General features: G+C 48.1%; 1 long non-coding RNA gene across 1 annotated transcript, besides 1 other annotated feature; it reads left to right on the forward strand.

The window, feature by feature from the left end:
• The first annotated feature begins 127 nt into the window (after positions 1–127).
• LINC01664 (long intergenic non-protein coding RNA 1664) lies at positions 128–10,637 on the forward strand. Its single transcript, NR_103793.1, has 4 exons — positions 128–572; positions 3,188–3,304; positions 8,895–9,017; positions 10,148–10,637. It is a non-coding gene; the product is annotated as a long intergenic non-protein coding RNA 1664 (long non-coding RNA).
• Positions 320–851: an enhancer, noted in NCBI's record as "H3K4me1 hESC enhancer chr22:17602677-17603208 (GRCh37/hg19 assembly coordinates)". NCBI's record gives its function as "activates a minimal SCP1, AML or CMV promoter by ChIP-STARR-seq in naive H9 embryonic stem cells {active_cell/tissue: H9 hESC(naive)}" and the evidence as "EXISTENCE:reporter gene assay evidence [ECO:0000049][PMID:30033119]".
• Positions 10,638–15,979: the final 5,342 nt, after the last annotated feature.

The raw sequence follows: 15,979 nt of genomic DNA on the forward strand, positions 1-15,979 counted from the left end.
GCGAGACCAGAGGAGGAGAAAGCGCGGCGCGCTGGATCAACGGGAAGAGAAGGGGCGGGGGTGCAGTGCGTCACAGTCGGGTCGGGAGCCCTGTGGCCTGGAGGAAGCGGGAGGAGGCGCGGGCAGCCGCCAGGGCGAGGCGACCCGGTGCGGGGGGACTCCCATGGAGCGCGGACTCCTAAGGAAGTCGCTGGGAATCCCACCGGCTGTACCGCAGGGCGTTAGTACCTAGATGGCTTCGGTGCCCCCAAGCGATGGGCTCAAGCTACAGGGCGGGCTTTGCACCTGGCCTTCTCAGCTCTGAGGCAGGCAGTGGGCAGCTTCGCCTCCACCCTCCGTCCAGCGCCCTTCCCATGGGGCCATCCGCCTCTCCCTAAGGCACTAAAAACCAGTGGAGGAGTCAGGCCATGTTGGCAAAAAGGGCTCGGGCAGCAGCCCCAGACCTATAGTCCTAAATATCCATGTACCCAGCCCTGGGGTCGCGAGCCATCTCAGGGACGACCCGATTCCAGCGGATGGAGAAGTTCCCTGAAAACACCTGCCTGGGAGGAGAGACGAGGGAACGAGATTGGGCAAGTGGCATCCGCCCAGCGGGCTTCTCAAAGGTTTTTAAAGCAGAATGGGACGTAATAGGAAGATGTGTCTAGCAGAGAGTAAAATAAAGGGGCATTTAGAGGTGTGGGCACCTGGATGAAAACAAAGGCTCCAAAGGGATGATGGTGAGGGTTACAGCCCACCACAGTAGACAGAGACACCAAGGAAGGAATGCAGTCAGTGGCCCTGCGTAGACAGTCTCAGGAGAGAGCACACCAGCTCACCCCAGGACTCATCCAAGGCTGGGGATGGATGTCGATGCAGCAACTCTGGAAGGCAGAAGGTAGAGTGCTGCCTTTAGGGGTTTAAGGGAGAAGGAAATGACTAGAGCAGTTGGGGCTCAAAAACAATCTGAGGTTCACCAATAATGGAAACATCCCATTCCCAGCCCCATGAAAACAAGGCAGAAAGCTTGCCTGCCCTATTGGCCTCTGCACCCTTGTGGGGCCTGTGGGCTCCCTGATTTCATGACCTTTGAAGCTGCTGCTGCGGGCTCATCTCCCCTAGGTAACAGCTTGCAGCGTGATAACACCATGCAGTGTGAGGGAGCTGTATGCAGTGGAGCCGCAGGGGTTAGTCAGGCCTCGCCCCTAAATCTGCCTCTTAAATAAGAGTCCGTTTCAGCCAAACCTGCCTTTTCCAGTTCCGTGGAGGTCAGTCTGCACAGCCAATCCCTGGTAAATATACAATTTAGAACCTGCACCATCTCCACCTCCCCCACACACACCACTTTTGGAAAGCTGGCATGGTGGTGAGGGCAGGAGCTCTGGGGCCGCCATCCCACCTGTGCCACTTAACACCTTTGTGGTCTTAGCCTGAATATTTCACCTCAGAATGTTGATCTGTAAACAGGACCCCACCCCAGCCGGGCGCGGTGGCTCACGCCTGTAATCCCAGCACTTTGGGAGGCCGAGGCGGGCGGATCACCTGAGGTCGGGAGTTTGAGACCAGCCTGACCAACATGGAGAAACCCCATCTCCACTAAAAGTACAAAACTAGCCGGGCATGGTGATAATCCCAGCAATTTGGGAGGCAGAGGCGGGCAGATCACCTGAGGTCAGGAGTTTGAGACCAGCCTGGCCAACACAGTGAAACTCCGCCTCTACTAATAATACGAAAATTAGCCAGGGGTGGTGGCACGCACCTGTAATCCCAGCTACTCGGGAGGCTGAGGCAGGAGAATCGCTTGAACCCGGGAGGCAGAGGTTGCAGTGAGCCAAGATTGTGCCATTGCACTCCTGCCTGGGCAACAAGAATAAAACTCCATCTCAAAAAAAAAAAAAAAAGGACCTCACTCCTACCTTAAGGGATTGTTGTGAGTATGAAGAGAGATCATGTGTGTAATCTCTCTTCGATGACAGAGCCAGTCCCTGGCTCAGAGTCCATGCTCAGTTAAAGGTCTCTGTGTTATCATCATTCCATTAGCCCATGCCTTAGCCTCCCAGGGAACATCGACTCATAGCAGGGGCCACCAATGGCTGTTTTCTGCCTGGACTCTTGAGTTCTGCTCCCCAGTAGCGTTGCACTTTGGTAAGTGCCCAGGAACAAAGCTGCCATGGTTAGGAGCACTGATTCTTGGAGCCGGTCTTCTCAGGCTCACAGTGTGAGACATTCAGGGTGCCAGTTGGGGCCAGGGTCCACCCATGTGGGGCAGGGTGAGGTCAGGAGTTCAAGACCAGCCTGATCAATATGGTGTTTCACCAATACTCCGTCTGGGGGGAAAGCAAACAAACAAACACTTCAGTCCTACCTGAGGTGCCCAAAAATAAACAAACAAACAAAAAACCTGGCCGGGCACATTTGAGATCAGCCTGGGCAAGATAGCAAGACCTCATCTCTAAAAATAATTTTTTTTTTCAAGACAGAATCTTGCTCTATCCCCCAGGCTGTAGTGCAGTGGTGCGATCTCGGCTCACTGCAACCTCCGCCTCCCGGGTTCAAGCGATTCTCATGCCTCAGCCTCCCAAGTAGCTGGGAATACAGGCGCCCGCCACCACACCTGGCTCATTTTTGTATTTTTAGTAGAGACAGGGTTTCTCCATGTTGGTCAGGCTGGTCCCGAACTCCCGACCTCAGGTGATCTGCACGCCTCAGCCTCCCAAAGTGCTGGGATTACAGGCATGAGCCACCACACCTGGCCATAAAAATAATTTTTTTTTTAAGTAGCCAGACGTGGTGGCATGTGCCTGTGACTCCTAGCCACCCAGGAGGCTAAAGTGGGAGGGTCATTTGAGGCCAGGAGTTCGAAGTTACAATGAGCTATGATCATGCCACTGTACTCCAGCTTGGGTGACAGAGCAAGACCCTGTCTCAAAGAAAAGAAAAGAAACCTTTAGATTTCAAGTATATAGTAGTCCTCCCTTTATCCATGAGGGATTCATTCCAAGACCTCCAGTGGATGCCTGAAACTGAAGATATACATATACTATGTTTATTTTCCTATACATACCTATGATAAAGTTTAATTTATAAATTAGGTACCATAAGAGATTAAGAATAGTAACTAATAATAGAACAATTATAACAATATATTATAATAAAAGTGTATGTGAATGTGGTGCCTCTCTATCTCAAAATATCTTAATATTTTCAGACAGTGCTTTACCATGGAACTGAAACCATGAAAAGTGAAACTGCAAATGGGAGAGACTGCTGTATAGTCACTGAAAAATTAATGGATGAGCTCAACAGCAAATTAGACACAACTGAAGTGAGTAAATTTAACAATATATATGAAGACATTCTCTAGAATGTAGTACAGAGAGCTAGAGACTGAAAATATCTAGGAGACAAGAGACATGAGAGATAGATTGGAATATCCAAAATATGTCTAACAGAAGCTCCAGAAGGAGAATATAAAACAATAAGGGAAGGACAATACAGAAATTTGAACTGAGAATTTTCCAAAATTGGTGAAAGAACTTCTCCAACCCACAGATTTAGGAATTGCAATGAATCCTAAACAGGATGAATAAAAATAAACATGCTCCGAGATGTTTTCAAGTAAAATTGTAGAACTCTAGACAAGAAAAAGATCTTAAGAGAAATCAAACAGTAAAAAAAAAATTACTTACAACAAACAACAATTAGATTAATGGCAGACTTCTCATCAGAAATAACAGAAGTCAGAATGCAGTGGATGGTAGAAATAAAGCTAAATAATCAGTAATCACAATAGATGTCATATTAAACGACACATGATCAGATGGATTTTTTTTAAATGTCCAGTTATAGGCTTTTATAAGAAATATCCCATGGCCTGGCATGGTGGTTCACGCCTGTAATCCTAGCACTTTGGGAGACTGAGGCAGAAGGAACCCTCAAGCCCAGACTGGGCAACAAAATGAGATGCCATTTCTACCAAAAAAAAAAAAAACCATTTTTTTTTTTGAGGGACGCAGGTTTTGTTTTTGTTTTTGTTTTTTTTAATGGAGTTTCACTCTCGTTGCCCAGGCTGGAGGGCAATGGTGAGATCTCAGCTCACCACAACCTCCTCCTCCCAGGTTCAAGCGATTCTTCTGCCTCAGCCTCCCGAGTAGCTGGGATTACAGGCATGCGCCAACACACCCAGCTAATTTTGTAATTTTAGTAGAGACGGGGTTTCTCCATGTTGGTCAGGCTGATCTCGAACTCCTGACCTCAGGTGATCCTCCCACCTCGGCCTCCCAAAGTGCTGGGATTACAGGCGTGAGCCACCATGCCCGGCCTTCAAAAAATCGTTTTTAATTAGCCAGGTGTAGTGATACATGCCTGTAGTCCCAGCTAGTCAGAAGGCTGAAGTGGGAGGATCCCTTGAGCCCAGGAGTTGGAGGTTGCAGTGAGCTATGATCACGCCATTGCACCCCAGCCTGGGTGACAGAGCAAGACCCTGTCTCAAAAATAAATAAATAAAAGAAAAAGAGAAACATCCCTAAAATATAAAGACAAACAAAGTAAAAAAGGGCTGAAGAAAAAATACACAAATATAATTTAATGCATGTATATAATTAAACTAGGCAAATATCAACTTTAAAAAGTGGGTTTGGCAATATTAATACCAAAAAAATAAACTATATGACAAAGAATATTCTTAGGGATAAAGAAGTTCACTATGTAATGATAGAAGACAGTACACCATAGTAGTGAAGGGCACATACTCTATAGCCAGACTACCTGGATTCAAACCCTGACTCCACCATTTAGTTTTATTTTATTTTTATTTATTTTTTTTATTTTTTGGAGACGGAGCCTCACTTTGTCACCCAGGCTCGAGTGCAGTGGCACGATCTCGGCTCACTGCAACCTCTTCCTCCCAGGTTCAAGCAATTCTCCTGTCTCAGCCTCCCAAGTAGCTGGGATTATAGGCGCCCGTCACCACACCCAGCTAATTTTTTTTTGTATTTTTAGTAGAGACAGAGTTTCACCATGTTGGCCAGGCTGTTCTTGAACTCCTGACCTCAGGTGATCTGCCCACCTCGGCCTCCCAAAGTGCGGGGATTACAGGCATGAGCCACCGCGCCTGGCTGACTCCACCATTTAGAAGCTGAGTGACCTTAGGCAAATTACTTAATCTCTCTTTCCTTGATTTTCCCACTAGAAAATGGGGAAAATAATAGTACCCACTTCACAGAGTTGTTATGAGGAGTAAATGAATTAATAGATAGAAAGTGCTCAGCACAAAGTGCTATATACATATTTGCTGCTGTAAAAGGACCAAGTTCCAGAAAGACCATAGTTCTGAATGTGTGTGTATTCAATAACATTGCCCTAAAATATATAAATAAAAATGGGTAATATTTATGAGACACTGGCAAATAACCTAATGATAGTAAGAAATATAAACACATCTCTCAGTAATTGATAGTTCACACAGATAAAACATTGGTACAGATGTATACAAGTTGAACCATATCATTAACAAGCTTGATCTAAATGGCTGAATTTAGAGCTCTGTACCTCCAAAACTAGATACTACACATTGTTTACAATTTTACATGCAACATTTACAAAGCCTGACCATGTACAGACCAATCCTTTGACCTCACAACAATTAGATTAGAATAAAATAACAAAACAACGACCAACCACCCCCCACATATTTGGAAGTGTAAAGACATACTTCCAAATGAATCATCCAAAAATTAGAAAATATTTAGAACTAAATGAACATGAAAATACCACCTGTCAAAATGGATGGGACATAGCCAAAGCAGAAGAAGAACATTTATAGCTTTAAATGTTTGTGTTACAAAGGAGAAAATTGAACATTTAATAAGGTAAACATCCAACTTAATAAATTGGCTGAGCACAGTGGCTTGTCATTCCAGCACTTTGGGAGGCTAAGGCAGGAGGGTCACTTGAGGCTAGTAGTTTGAGATCAGCCTGGGTAACATAGCAAGACGTTGTCTCTATAAAAAATTAAAATATTAGCCAGGCATGATGGTACATGCCTGTAGACCCAGCTACTTGGGAGGCTGAGGTGAAGACCTCTTGAGCCCAGCAGTTTGAGGCTACAGTGATCCATGATCACACCACTTCCAGCCTAGGCAACAGAGTGAGATCCTGTCTCAAAATAAGTAAATAAAAGTTGGAGAAAGAAAAGCAAGTACAATGAAAACACAAAGAAGGAAATATGGTTGGGCATGGTGGCTCATTCTTGTAATCCTAACACTTTGTTTTTTGTTTGTTTATTTGTTTGTTTTGTTTTGAGATGGAGTCTTACTCTGTCGCCCAGGCTGGAGTGCAGTAGTGCGATCTCAGCTCACTACAACCTCTGCCTCCTGGGTTCAAGCAATTCTCCTGCCTCAGCCTCCTGAGTAGCTGGGACTACAGGCACACGCCATCATGCCCGGCTAATTTTTGTATTTGTAGTAGAGACGGGGTTTCACCATGTTAACCAGGATGGTCTTGATCTCCTAACCTCGTGATCTGCCAGCCTCAGCCTCCCAAAGTGCTGGGATTACAGGCGTGAGCCACCGCACCTGGCAATCCTAGCACTTTGAGAAGCCAAGGCATCAACTTTCAAATTGGGTAACAGGTAGAGGCTGAAAGAGTTTTGAGGTGTATGCTAGAAATGTGGACATTAAGGGTGATCCTGATGAGGACTCAGAAAGAAAAGAGGAGAGCTGTAGCGAAACCTCAATCTTCTTAGAGAATACCTAAGTAATCCTGAACAGAATGCTGGTGGGAATATATAGTAAGGCCATTCTTTATTTTTTTTTAATTTTTTTTTTTTTAACAAAGTCTCACTGTGTCGCCCAGGCTGAAGTGTAGTGGTGTGATCTTGCTGCAACCTCCACTTTCTGGGTTCAAGTGATTCTCCTGCCTCAGCCTCCCGAGTAGTTGGGACTACAGCTGCATGCCACCACACCCGGCTAATTTTTGTATTTTTAGTAAAGACGGGGTTTCACCATGTTGACCAGGCTGGTCTAGAACTCCTGACCTCAAGTGATCCACCCGCCTTGAGCTCCCAAAGTGCTGGGATTACAGGCAGTAAGGCCATTCTGATGGGGCCACAGATGGAAATGAAGAACATTTACTGGAAGCTGGACAAAAGGCCATCCTTGTTAGGAAGAAGCAAAGAGCTTAGCTAAATTGTGTTCATGTTCTATCATTTTGTGGAGGTAACAATTGCAAGCAATGAAACTTGCAATTGGATGTTTGGCTTAGGAAATCTCTAAACAAAGTATTGAAGGAGTTACCTAGCTCCTTCTGACTGCTTCCAATAAAATTCAAGAGAGACATAAATGACTTAAAGACAGAACTGTTAAGCAAAAAGTAATAAGAACTTGAAATTCTGAAAAATGATCAGCCCATCCATATAGAAAAGAACGAGAACCCAGTTTGGAGAGAACACTAACGGTGTTGCTCTGTTGCCAAGCTCCTTTAGTAAGAGTAGTATGGATCAGCCATTGCAACAGAAGCTAGGAGCTGTTCTCCAAGATAATGGAAGAAGGACCCTGAAGGCAATTCAGAGATCATGAGAGTTGGCACTCCCATCACCAGCCCAGAGTGCAAGGACCCACAGTGCAGAGCAGATTCAAAGGCTGGCCACCTCTCTGGTCCAGGCCAACCAAGGAGCAGGAATTAGGCCCTCACCAGACACCAAATCTGCTGATGCCTTGATCTTGGACTGTCCAGTCTCCAAAAGTATGAGAAATAAATTTCTGTTTTCACAGGACACCCAGTCTATGGTCTTCTAATAGCCTGAATGGACTAAGACATAGACCAATTGCACTTATGAACATAGACAAAGAACTCCTGAACAAATTACCAGCAGTAGCGGCCAGCAACATGTAACATAACCAACTTGGTTTTATCCCAGGGATGAAAGAAAGAGTTAAAGATGACAACAGGCTGGGCATAGTGACTCACGCCTGTTATCCCAACATTCTAGAGGCCAAGGTGGGAGGAGCGCTTGAAGCCCAGGAGTTTGAGAGCCGCCTAGGCAACATGGCAAGACCTCACCTCTACAAAAAATTAAACAATAAAATTAGCTGGGGTGTGGTGGCACATACCTGTAGTCCCAGCTACTTGGGAGGCTGAGGCGGGAGAATTGTTTAAGCCCGGGAGGTCGAGGCTGCCGTGAGCCAGGACTGCACAACTGTACTGCAACCTGGGTGACAGAGAGAGACCCTGTCTCCAAAAAAAAAAAAAAAAAAAAAGATAAAAACAAAATATATTAATATGGTTTACCATATTAACAGATTAAAGGAGAAGAACACTTAAGATCAACTCAACAAATACAGAGAAACAAACATTTAATATCTATTCATGAATTTCAACAAAAATTGAGCAAAACAAAATTTTTTGCTCTATTGGTCTTGCTCTGTTGTCCAGACCAGAGTGCAGTGGCACAATCATAGTTCACTGCAGGTTTGAATCCTGGGCTCAAGCAACCCTCCTGCCTCAGCCTTCCAAGTAGCTGTGACTACAAGCATGTGCCACCACGCCCAGCTATTTTTTTGTTTGTTTGTAGAGAGAGGGTCTCCCCATGTTGCCCAGGCTAGTCTCAAACTCCTGGACTCAAGAGATCCTCCTGCTTCTGCCTCCCAGAGTGCTGGGATTATAGGTGTAAGCCACCAAGCCTGGCCAGAATTTCTTTATTCCTAGTAAATAGTAATATGGCAACAGAGACAGACTAGATGCTGTTCAATCCCATTTCCTCTTCCTAGACAGAGAAAGACCACATTTCCCATCCTCTTTGCAGTCACATTAGAACCATGTGGCTAGCCAATAAACATGCACACATGTGGCACCCACCACAGCCTGGTTCGGCCATAAATCCCTTCACAGTTATCCATTCACACTCTCTCCCACAGACCTTGGACCCATGTGTGGAAGATGACAGCATCACCAACTGGAGGGTGCCTGGATCCCTGAGTCACCACTTGAAGCAAAAAGGTCAAGAGTAGCCACCTGACCCATATCAGGCTATGAAATGAGTAAGAAAGAAAGATTTTGTGAGGCCACATTTTCATACATGTGTAGGTCTGTTTCTGGGTACTCTCCTTTGTGCCATTGGTTTGTGTCTCTCCCTCTGCCAGTAGTACAGTGTCTTAATTACTGTAACTTCATAAAAATGTTTGATATCTGATAGGCAAGTCCAGGGTCAAGACAGGATGAATTCCTCTAGAACAAGGGAATTTCTCGTTTCTTTTCTTTCTTTCTTTTTTTTTTTTTTTTTTTGAGATGGAGTCTCACTCTGTCATCCAGGCTGGAGTGCAATGGTGCAATCTCGGCTCACTGCAACCTCCGCCTCTCGGTTTCAAGTGATTCTCCTGCCTCAGCCTCCCGAGTGGCTGGGACTACAGGCACGTGCCACCTGCCTGGCTAATTTTTGTTTTGTTTTGTTTTGTTTTTAGTAGAGATAGGGTTTCACTATGTTGGCCAGGCTGGTTTCAAACTCCTAACCTCAAGTGATTCGCCTGCCTCGGCCTCCCAAAGTGCTGGGATTACAGGCGTGAGCCACCGAGCCCGGCCCTCATTTCTTAACACTGCATTTGGTAGGAGAGCAACAGTCATTTATATGTGAATAAATGAAGCCGAAAGAGGAAGTTAGAAAGACCAAAGGGGCCGGGCGCGGTGGCTCCCGCCTGTAATCCCAGCACTTTGGGAGCCCGAGGCAGGCGGATCACGAGGTCAGGAGATGGAAACCATCCTGGCTAACACAGTGAAACCCCGTCTCTACTAAAAATTAAAAAAATAAAATTAGCCGGGGGTGGTGGCGGGTGCCTGTAGTCCCAGCTACTGGGGAGGCTGAGGCAGGAGAATGGCGTGAACCCGGGGGGCGGAGCTTGCAGTGAGTCGAGATCGTGCCACTGCACTCCAGCCTGAGCAACAGAGCGAGACTCCGTCTCAAGAAAAAAAAAAAAAAGAAAGACCAAAGGAAGAAGCAGACAAGAAAGGAAGAAGGAACACCCCTCCCCTCTCCAAAGAGACAGCTCCAGGAACGCCAAGGCTGCTCGCCTAGGGATGCAGAGCCAGAAAGCTCAAATCAGAGGGGGAGGAGGTAGGGAAGGAGTTTCAAGCTAGACTCCTATTCTCTCTCTCCATCCCCTCTCACCCCAAAAAGAGAGAAAATGACACGAGGCTTTGGAACCAAGAGCTGGAGGAACCTGGAAGCGAAAGCTGAGGCTGTCGGCTGCCCAGCAGTTAACACCCTGAGACCATCTTCCCACTTCCAACACCCACAGAAGCTGCCACCCAAGGGCCCCTGTGTCCCCGCATGGCCCACCTCAGCAGTATGATGCAGCACTGGGGAAGTGACAGAATGTGAAAAAAACTATTATAGCTGAGATATTTTAAAATTCCGCCCTCCAGGCAGCATCTGGTTGCTACAGCAACCCCAGCTCTGCAGGGTGTCCCGATTACCAGCAGGCTCCCTGCACCTGCCTCAGGCTGAGAGCAGGCGGCTGCCGCCAAGGGGAACACCAAGGAAATGCCCATGTTCTGATTCCAAGGTAATGGCTCAGACCCAAGGGGATTTTATCTGTTCAATGTGCAACCTGATGAAGTTTTGTCCCATGTTAATAATTTCATTAAAAATATGGCCTTACATCCTATTCGATGCACTCAGTCTTTTTTTTTTATTCACTCGGCTCCATCAAAACACAAAAAGATAACATTGTCATTCATTTGGGATTGAGCAAATGAAAGCAGCTGGATGAGTTTTGGTTCCAGGGTTTAGACAAAGCCCCTAAGGGACAAAATTGGAATCAGAGCTGAGTGGCTGGCCCTGCTCTCTGGATTTGCATAAGTCATGTGGCAGGACACTTGCTCTTTTGCACCCAGCCTAAAATAGCTTATGATATCTTTAGGAAACCCAAACGAGTAATAAATAGGGGGCTGGGCACTGTGGCTCACACCTGTTATCCCAACACTTTGGAAGGCTGAGGCAGGGGTATCACTTGAGCCCAGGAGTTCCAGACCAGCCTGGGTAACATAGCAAGTTCCTGTTTCAATAAAAAAATTACAGGCTGGGCACGGTGGCTCACGCCTGTAATCCCAGCACTTTGGGAGGCTGAGGCAGGTGGATCACCTGAGGTCAGGAGTTTGAGACCAGCCTGGCCAACATTGTGAGACCCCATCTCTATTAAAAATACAGAAAATTAGCTGGGTGTGGTGGCGGGCGCCTGTAATCCCAGCTACTCGGGAGGCCAAGGTGAGAGAATCACTTGAACTCGGGAGGCAGAGGTTGCAGTGAGCCGAGATTGCACCACTGCACTCCAGCCTGTGCGATAGAGCGAGACTCCGTCTCAAAAAAAAAAAAAAAAAAATTACATTAGCTGGGTGTGGTAGTGCACACCTGTAGTCCCAGCTATTTGGGAGGGTGAGGTGGGAGCATCACTAGAGCCCAAGGAAGTCAAGGCTGCAGTGAGCCATGATCACGCCACTGCACTCCAGCCAGAGTGTGTGGTGTGTGGTGGTACACACCTGTAATCCCAGCACTTCAGGAGGCTGAGGCGGGAGAATTGCTTGAGCCCAGGAGTTCAAGACCAGCTGGGTCAACATAGCGGGACCCCATCTCAAAATATAATAAATAAATAAGTGAAATTAAATGAGAAAGAATGAATGGTTTCTGACTTTGTGCCTTCATTTCTGAAAATGGCATAGATAAGAATTCTCTCTCCATGAGGGGCTTTGTGAGGCTCTAACAAAGTAGGAACGGATGACACCTGTTTCAAAATGCTTTGGAAAATGCTAACCACCATGCAAATGTGAGCCAGCAAGACTGGGTCCTGGCCAGCAGCTCAGATGGCCAACACAAAGGTGCTTCGGAGGCCAGGGCTGGTCTTCAGAGACTCAGAGACTTGCGTCATGTCCTGGAGCAGCTGCTCTGGGTGCAGCCCAGATGAGCTCAGGTCAGATAGGTCAACAGGTCAACCTCACCACCCAGATTGACAGAATAACCCAGCTCAGTGCCTTGGTGCTGTTGGCGCCACGAGGCACCTGCCCAACACGCACCCCATGAGCCTTTCACACACAACCCGAATTTTGTTTGAGCGACAATGTGCCAGTCCCTGCCTGTCACTGGGGGTGTCTGTGTGACCCCCTCGTCATCACCTGCAGAACTGGAGGTCAGAAGGGGGCACTCCTGGGGATGAAGCTCCATGAGCTCTGCTCTGGGCCCTTCCCTCCCTCCCCCTTCTCAGTGGGGCTGAGGGGCTTGCACGTGTAAGGGGGCCACCTTGCCACTGGACAAAGCATGCGTGCTGAGGATGGTGGGGTGGGCACTGAGTCCTCCAGGATAGCCTGGCACTGCTCCCAGCCCTGACATGCCACTTCTGACCTTCCCATCACTTAGAAAAATAACCTCCTGTTGGGTCAAGCCACCAATCAAACTTCTGTTAGAGGCCAGGTGCAGTGGCTCATGCTTGCAATCCCAGCACTTTGGGAAGCCAAGGTGGAAGGATCACTTGATGCCAGTTCAAGACCAGTCTGAGCAACATGGTGAGACCCCATCTCTAAAAAAAAAAAAAAAAAAAAAAAAAATTAATTAGCTGGGTGCAGTGGGGCACACACCTCTACTCCTAGCTACTCAGAAGGCTGAGGTGGGAGAATCACTTGAGCCTGGGAGGTAGAGGCTGCAGTGAGCAGTGATTGTGCCACTGCACTTCAGCCTGGGTGACACAGCAAGACCCCAGACTCTAGAAGAAAAAGACCAAAAAGATTTCTGTTAGGAACAGAACATAATCTGAAATGATACAGAACTGTACTTATAACAGCTCATTTATTTCTCAGATAGTCCTATGAAACAAACATTGCCAATGCCAATTTCACAGGTGAGAAAATGGAAGCTTGGAGGAGTGAAGGAAGTTGCCCAAGGCCCTATAGCTAGTGGATGGCCGGGCTGGGACTCCATCGCCAGGCCTGCAGTCCTTTCACTTCTGCCACGCTCCCTGGGGAGTGAAGGCAGAGGGAGGCGTTTTCATGTCCAAGGGCCCTGTGGAGGACTCACCATAGGAGGGTCTCAGGGGCCATCTACTATCATCTTTTGAAGCCTGCCAAGTGCCAGGCATGCAGGTGTGGGGACAGGGTTATGAACCAATATGGACAGAGTCCATGGAGTAGTAGAAGACATAGAATCAGCAAGTATATGTGGGTCATGGGGCGGTAGGTACCATGAAAACATTAAGTAGGGTAAGGATGATGGTGCTATGTTTACAGAAAGTCAAGGAAATTGGAATGGCACATCCATCCATCAGACCCATAAGTGGGTCTGGGAAAAAAAGAAAGATGCTTGGCCAGGCACAGTGGTTCACACCTGTAATCCCAGTACTTTGGGAGGCCGAGGCGGGCAGATCACGAGGTCAGGAGTTCGAGACCAGCCTGGCCAACATAGTGAAACTCCGTCTCTGCTAAAAACCAAAAAATTAGCCAGGTGTGGTGGTATGCACCTGTAGTCCCAGCTACTTGGGGGGCTGAGGCAGGAGAATCACTTGAACCCAGGAGGCAGAGGTTGCACTGAGCCAAAACCTCGCCATTGCACTCCAGTCTGGGGCACAGATCGAGACTTCATCTCAAAAAAAAAAAAAAAAAAGGAAAAGGAAGGGATGGCATGTGCCACATGGACACCGTGGCCCGGCAGAGGGGCTGCGAGAGGCCCTAGGCAGGAGTGAACGTGGAGAAGGGTGGCGTGTGTGAATGATGATGGGGAAAGCAGCAGGTGAGGTCCCGGGGGTAGCGGTGGGACAGGATGAAGAGGCATTTGTGCCATGGTAAGAAATCACTGCTTTTGCTCTGACTGAGACGTCACTGGAGGGCTTTCATCAGAGAACAGACCACGTGATCTGCCAATGAGTGAGCAGAGCAAGTGGGAAAGAAAAGGGCGGAGGCAGGGAGGCCATGAAGTGTGGCTGTAACAGCTCAGGTGAGGCCAGGGGCCTAGTTGGGGCGGGGCGTGGTGGGTAGCAGAGCTCACTTGGGAAATTAAGAGGAGCTCAGCAGGACGCCAGGCCCTCGGCCTAGACAAGGAGAGGAAGGAGCTGCTGCAGCCACCTAAGCTGGGGAAGACAGTTAAGCAGGAGGTGTGGACTGCGCTCAGTGTCTGGTCGTGGACACAGCAACACTTACACCGAGGGAATGAGCACAGCTCCTCAGCACTCAGCCACTCAGCCTCCAAGACACCGGCTCTCCTGTTTCATAGCCACTCTCTCAACCTCCTTTGCTCCCTAACCTCTAAACACCTCTGAGGCATCCAAGCAAAGGTGTCAAGAAATCAGCTGAGGGCCGGGCGCGGTAGCTCATGCCTGTAATCCCAGCACTTCAGGAGGTCAGGCAGGCGGATCACCTGAGGCCAGGAGTTTGAGACCAGCCTGGCTAACAGTGAAACCCCATTTCTACTAAAAATACAACAAATTAGCTGGGTGTGGTGGCACGTGCCTGTAATGCCAGCTACTCAGGAGGCTGAGGCAGGAGAATCGCTTGAACCCGGGAGGTGGAGGTTGCAGTGAGCCGAGATCACGCCATTGCACTCCAGCTTGGTAAACAAGAGCAAAACTCCCGTCTCAAAAAAAAAAAAAGAAAGAAAGAAATCAGTTAGGCCGGGAGCAGTGGCTCACGCCTGTAATCCCAGCGCTTTGAGGGGCCAAGGAGGGTGGATCACTTGAGGTCAGGAGTTTGAGACCAGCCTGGCCAACATGGCGAAACCCCGTCTCTACCAAAAATACAAAAATTAGCTAGTCAGGCGTGGTGGCGGGCGCCTGTAATCCCAGCTACTCGGGAGGCTGAGGCACAAAAATTGCTTGAACCTGGAGGTGGAGGCTGCAGTGAGCCGAGATCATGCCACTGCACTCCAGCTTGGTAAACAAGAGCAAAACTCCCGTCTCAAAAAAAAAAAAAAAAGAAATCAGTTAGGCCGGGAGCAGTGGCTCACGCCTGTAATCCCAGCGCTTTGAGGGGCCAAGGAGGGTGGATCACTTGAGGTCAGGAGTTTGAGACCAGCCTGGCCAACGTGGCGAAACCCCGTCTCTACCAAAAATACAAAAATTAGCTAGCCAGGCGTGGTGGCGGGCGCCTGTAATCCCAGCTACTCGGGAGGCTGAGGCACAAAAATTGCTTGAACCTGGAGGTGGAGGCTGCAGTGAGCCGAGATCATGCCACTGCACTCCAGCCTGGGTGACAGAGTGAGACTCCATCTCAAAAAAAAAAAAAAAAAAAAAAAAAGAGTAGTCAGGTGGAGAGAGCCAAGAGGGCTTTAAGAATGAGGGAAGGAGGCCGGGCGTGGAGGCTCACACCTGTAATGCCAGCACTTTGGGACACCAAGGCAGGCAGATCATTTGAGGCCAAGAGTTTTAGACAAGCCCGGCCAACATGGTGAAACCCTGTCTCTACCAAAAAAAAAAAAAACATTAGCCAGGCGTGGTGGCATGTGCCTCTAGTGCCAGGTACTCAGGAGGCTGAGGTGGAATTGCTTGAACCCGGGAGGTTCAAGTGAGCCATGATCGTGCCACTGCACTCCAACCTGGGTGACAGAGCAAGACTCCGTCTCTAAAAAATAAAAAAAGAACAAGGGAGGGAGGCATCAGCTATGTCAAACACAAACAGCTACTGGAGTAAAATGAGGACGAGAACTGACTGGGGGATTTGCAGATGCTGAGGCCATGGGTGACACAGACAAATGAAGAAATGAAGTTGGTTACTCCTAGAGGAAGGGATGCAAGAAGCGGCATGTTTTCTAGAATCACTGCAGGAAGAGCTGCTTCCTTTAGAACAAACCAGTAACAAGATCCCTCTTCTTTTCCACACCAGGGAAGTTGCTAAGTATATGCCAAAGCCAGGCATACTCATTCATAGACAGCCTCAGGCTTCACAGCCCAGAATGGGTGTGGACTTGGGGGCGGGAGGTAGGAAAGGAGATGTGGGCACCTCGTGGAGCTGAAATGCCACCCATCTCCCAGACCCT

The sequence above is a fragment of the Homo sapiens genome, chromosome 22 (assembly GCF_000001405.40).
Source record: "Homo sapiens chromosome 22, GRCh38.p14 Primary Assembly".
Taxonomy (NCBI): Eukaryota; Metazoa; Chordata; class Mammalia; order Primates; family Hominidae; genus Homo; species Homo sapiens.